This window comes from Homo sapiens, chromosome 1 (genome assembly GCF_000001405.40).
Source record: "Homo sapiens chromosome 1, GRCh38.p14 Primary Assembly".
Taxonomy (NCBI): Eukaryota; Metazoa; Chordata; class Mammalia; order Primates; family Hominidae; genus Homo; species Homo sapiens.
Genome location: NC_000001.11, coordinates 87,755,674 through 87,761,673, shown reverse-complemented (window position 1 = coordinate 87,761,673; position 6,000 = coordinate 87,755,674).

The following is a 6,000-nucleotide window of genomic DNA, read 5'->3' as shown; positions in this document are numbered from 1 at the left end:
CTCCAACTATTGCAGATGTTTGCAGTTGAACTGCATTCATTTAAGTCTTCTGTATGTAGCTCACTCTTGAGGTTCCCTGTATCTATCTTCATCTCAGGTGGTAGCTCTCTTTTTCTATTTGCGGTAAGGTCCAACTCACTACAAGATTGTAGAGTTAGAAGGAAACGTCAGTTCCCGAACATTTCTCCTTCAAGTACACCTTGTCTTTATTTTTGGAGATCTTGTTCCTAGAATACACTAATTTGCCTCTTATTTCAGGATGATGGTGCAACATCATGAACCTTGAATATTTCTGAAGGTTCAAAGAGGATCCTAAGTCTGAGTGCCACTGTGAACACACTGTCCAGGGCCTTTTCAAGGATTGCTTTGTTGACTAGAAGACTCCTAAAGATTGTTTTCATAAAATGACAAATATAAATGAAAAGATGATGCCAATTATCAAATGGGAACCAGATTTTAAAATAGTACAGGATACACTTTTCATTCACCTTTTAACTGTCATTTTCATCTTCTGTGTGCATGGGGGAAAGCAGGAGGAATACTAATGTTTTTCTGGTCTACATAATTTTTAAAGTTGCTTTCCTACTAAAACCAAATTATTTTAATAGCATTCTGATCAGGATGAGAGAACAAGATGGAGAGTCATACTTCCGAGGTGAGAAACACAGCTATTCTTCTTGCCATGATTTGTTCAAAGATGAGCTCAATTAAAGGGAAACAAATGATTTATGACCCACAAGTTCACATGTGAAAGACATTGTATTCTGAGTAAGTAATTGGCTGGAGGTACAGTATAGCTAATGTACTGTATCTGTGAACATTGTTTATACACTGAATACAGGAGGTCATCATTAGCCAGAGAGCAGGGCTGGTCATAGTTACATACAGCCACTTCTGTCTCTTGACTGTTTTGGTGAAGAATATTCTTTGACATTTTCCTTTACCTCTAATTTTCACTAAAAGATACTGTTTCTTAACATTTTCTTATCTTTTTCTAATTGGGTGTTTTCCACAGCTGAGAGTAAATCGTTTAATTATTCTCGCTAGCTCCATGCAGCACTCAGAATAGAGCCCTCCTCATCCTCTAAGAGACTGTGATGTGTCTGAAGTCATTTATGGTGGATAACAGGGTATCAGCACAGCCTGAATGGGTGGCAGGAAAACAGGAGTCATCCTTCTACGGCAAAATCCTGGGTTCCTGCACAAGAAAATAACCCTGTGTTGGACTTTCAGAAGTAAAATAATTGCTCACAGATGAAATAACTGTAATAATTATTCCTAACCACAAGAATTTCCCAATTGGTGAATTAATCATATCTAACATTTATTAAAGCTGTGGAGAATTACATGAGATTTACAGAATACATGGTTGCCATTTGAGTCATTCACATGTAAGTCGCAGAAAACAGCCAAAATATTTGTAAGAAAGACATGTTTAAATCTGAGCAATGAGGATATTTTGTGGGACTGAAGAGAGGAAAGGGTGTTGGTTTAGTGTTTCCTGGGGTAAAAAGGCTTTTATCTGGTTTTGCTTTTAGACTTGCGTCTTGCCTCTGTTCACGCACCATTTTACTCAGAAAAGTAGAAATAGATTTTCTTGAAGAGGTTTTGAGGAGTGGGCTAAATAAAATAGCGGCTATTGCAGGTTGATAGAAAAAGATAGATAAGCCTCTAGCCTCCTACATTTGATTTGAACCTGGATTCTGTTCCCTCCCAATTAATCAACTCTGCGTTTGTACCAGGATAAAGTCATGCTGTTTATTCTGGTGTGAGCACTGCTCCACCCACATATGGAAAACTAATGGGCCACCCACTTTCCCAAAACACCAGAGAAGTTAGCAAGACACATACCATTGGAGGAAATTGGACATGAAATGTTATGGAAAACGCCACAATTCTCTTTCAGGGTGTAGTGGTAGGTTCCACAAAACTTATGGCTTGAAACTCTAAGGAGATACTCAATTATAATGATACAAAACATTATTTTTGATAGAACTCTGAAATGTGCAGTTCTCTTCCTTGGCACTCTCCCCTATGCTATGCTGTACAGAACATGTGCAGTACTATTCTGAGTTTTCCGGAAGTGAAACAACTTTATGGTAATCATATGCAAAATGTTTCTCAAGTTTTTTTGCAGTTTACTTTTTTATGAGTATGTTAAAAATTTAAGAGAAGCCTTGTTGACATTTTATATGCTTATTTTTCTTTCAAAGGAAAATTGGAGGATTTTAAAATTTTCATATCTGAGATGATAAAAGGTGAAATAACATCATAATTCTTATCTTGTTCAATTTGATATTTGGTTGTTTTATTTCCTTTTTATGAGTTTTATTCATCTTGTAACCAGTCTTGTATGTCTCATTTAAAAAAAAAAAAAGGTTTATTTCACTTTTTCTGTTTTGAGGAATTTGTCTAGAGTTGAAGTATCTACATAGAAGCCTGACGAAAAAAATCAAAATTCTTAAATACTGCCTCTTAAAAATGTTAATAAATACTGTAAATATTTTAAATGTTGTAATTTCAATATTTAAACTAACCCCTAAAATGATTTTAGTAAATACTTTGTCCTCTGAGAAAACTAAAAAAAGAGCATATTGTTATCTTTAATATATTTGAATATCACATTATATTGTTTTCCTCCCAATGTGTTTATAAAATGGAATATATTAATGTAAGGAAATGGCTACAGGCATTTATTACTTTATACAATGTTTTATTCATCCAACCGACACTAAGATTTTTATGGTTCTCCAAATACTTTACTGACCTGTGTACTTCTTTGGACCTCAAAGTCCCTCGGTGATCTCTTAAGAGAGAAACATTATGACATTTGTAGATATAACAATTCACTAGGTTTAACACAACTATTAGTCCTTTAATTAAATATTGACTTGCACCTCCAGGTTCTACTTCAGATTAAAGAGTGATCTTTTATCCACAAATGGTTGTGCTGATTTGTTGCATTTACTCAACCAACATTTATTGAGTGCCTGCCATCTGCAAGGCAATACTTAGGTATTGTGTGCATGTGTGGTGGTATGGTAGGAGATGGATATAAAGAGGAAAAGCACTCACATTTTATTCTGTAGATTTTTACTTATTATTTTATTAAAAAGTTAAGAATTCGAAAGCTACCCAAGAGGCTGATGCATCCTCTCTAAACTGGGAAGTTATGTAGCAGCCAGGGGAGGGAGAGATGGAGTGGTGGCATTTTTCAAAATGGTATTTTGTATCACAGATTGATGCATAAAAAATAAAAACAAGGATAAACTATGGAGTCAACAAATTATTATTATGATCACTATTTTTATGAGATGATCTTGCTCTGCTTTTGGATGAGGCCACAAATCTCAGTCACTCATTAGCATTCCTTCTTTGAAATGAATTTAATGTGGTTGTATATTAATTTGATTTCTCCAAGTTTCCTGAACTAGAAGATTGACTTGACCTGTGGCTAGTGCCAGAGAGATTGCATCCTGTGTCACATCAGCAAATTAGCACTGACTTTAACCTGTATATGGTAAAGCCTAGCACGGGCAAAACAACATCATCATTATTTTTCTAACTTCCAGCACTTCATTAACTATGGCACCACATAGGGGTTATATAACTGTGAGCATAACTTTGTAAAGTTTATAAACATAACAGAGAACGTTCTCACGGGTGTCCTAGGGCAGGCCGCATGCGTCGCTCCTTGAGGTCACCCAAAGTTCCTTCTCCCGACAGCTCACCCTTCAGTTGCAAGGGGAGGCGGACTGCCCACATTGGCTGTCCCAGCGCTAACCCCTCCGGTGATCATACTCAGCAGCCCTGTACTCCTGCCAGAATGTCACCAGAAGAAGATTGATTGCCTCTTAATAATGTTTCTCATAAGTTTCACCAATCTGGGTCTTTTTCCAGTCCCTAGGTTCTCAGCACTTGACCCTCACAATGTGGCATTCCTTCAGGCTCTGGCCTGACAAAACCATGGAGTCCCTGGGAGAACCAGATGTTTACTCACTGCTGTGAGTAAGAAAGTGAGACTGAGAGGTCTACAAACATTCACTGAATCTAGGCAACCACAAACACCCAATTCAGGGCACTGGTGTCTCTTCCCCAACCTCAGGTGAGGCTTGGAAAATTTCCCCAGTCCATCCTGCCTACCCATTAGGCAGAGTGGCGATAAGCTAAGGTTGATCCTTAATCACGAGCCACCTAGTTAACCTTCCTCACCATGCAAACAGACACATACAGAATTTAAGGCCATAGAAAATAGATGCCACCAGGGAATTCTCAGAGATTATTTATCCCAGAGACTTGTGTTAAAAAATTCTGTATCCTAGACAACAGTTTTGGCCACAATATTTTGGAATTGTGATCACCTGATTCTAAAATATCAAATATTACAGCTCAGTGGATCTGTGCACACATCTATGTGTGTGCTCCAATGGATATAAGACCCTGCACATACCCCTTTATAAGCATAGGCCTAGTGGACAGGATTGCTACCCACCTTATAGGATAATTTTGTTACATTAGGCTGTTACTCTTTGACATTATATTCCGGGATCATTACTTGAACCACAGATTTAAATGGCCACAACAATGACTTGTGGCTTATTGAACTTCACTAGGCTCCCTCCTTACCTGGTCTTCTTAATTTTTGGATCATTTGGAGTATTGTGTTTTGTTTTTAAAGACTTTTTTTTTTCTCAGAACACTTTTAGGTTTACAGCAAAATGAGAAAAAGGTATAGAGATTTCGCATATACCCCTTCCCCCCACAAATGCATAGTTTCCCCCATTATCAACATCCCCCACTAAACTGGTACACTTGTTACAGCTGATGAACTCACAGTGGCACATCATAATCACTCAAAGTCTACAGTTTACGTTAGGGTTCACTCTTGATGTTGTATGTGTTGTGGGTTTGGACAATGACCTGTTTCCGCCCCCCCTCAATTTTTGTGCTATTTTATGAAACAGATACAATTATATTTCTCGGCTGGACATAGTGGCTTATGCCTGTAATCCCAACACTTTGGGATGCCGAGGTAGGCAGATCACCTGAGGTCAGAAGTTCGAGAACAGCCTGGCCAACATGGCAAAACCTCATCTCTACTAAAAATACAAAAACTAGCTGGACGTGGTGGCACGTGCCTGTAATCCCAGTTACCCAGGAGGCTGAGGCAGGGTAATTGCTTGAACCTGGGAGGCGGAGGTTCCAGTGAGCCAAGATGGTGCTACTGCACTGTGGCCTGGGAGACAGAACGAGACTGCGTCTCAAAACAAATAAATAAATAAACAGATACATAACATTTTATTTATTTTTCAAATCTTTGTTTCCCCTATCAGCACGCTTTCATATACTTTTTTTTTTTTCTTTTTCTTCTTTTTTCTTTTGAGACGGAGTCTGGCTCTATCACCCAGGCTGGAGTGCAGTGGCGCAATCTTGGCTCACTGCAAGCTCCGCCTCCTGGGTTCACACCATTCTCATGCCTCAGCCTCCCGAGTAGCTGGGACTACAGGCGCCCACCACCACGCCCGGCAATTTTTTTTGTGTTTTTAGTAGAGACAGGGTTTCACTGTGTTAGCCAGGATGGTCTCCATCTCCTGACCTCGTGATCTGCCCACCTCGGCCTTCCAAAGTGCTGGGATTACAGGCGTGAGCCACTGCGCCTGGCCTCATATACCATTTTTAAACAAACAATCATACAACTCACATTCTCTCTACCTCTCTCTGTCAAAATCCAACTGGGTTGCAGGTAGCCATGTTTGATTGAAGGGAAATGGCTTCTTCCTCTGCCAGCCTCTACCTAGCTTTCAAATTGGGGACATTTCTTAACTAAGAACTCTGGCTAAAATTTGGTGGGGAAATAATTTCCAAGAAAGAGTGTAGGATCCTGGGAGGCAAGGATTTGAGTTGTAGTCAGACTGGATTTTGAATCCTAGATCTGGCATTTAATTGTTGAGTGCCCTGGGCAAGTTACTTAACTCCTTATGCCTCAATTTACTAATCCAT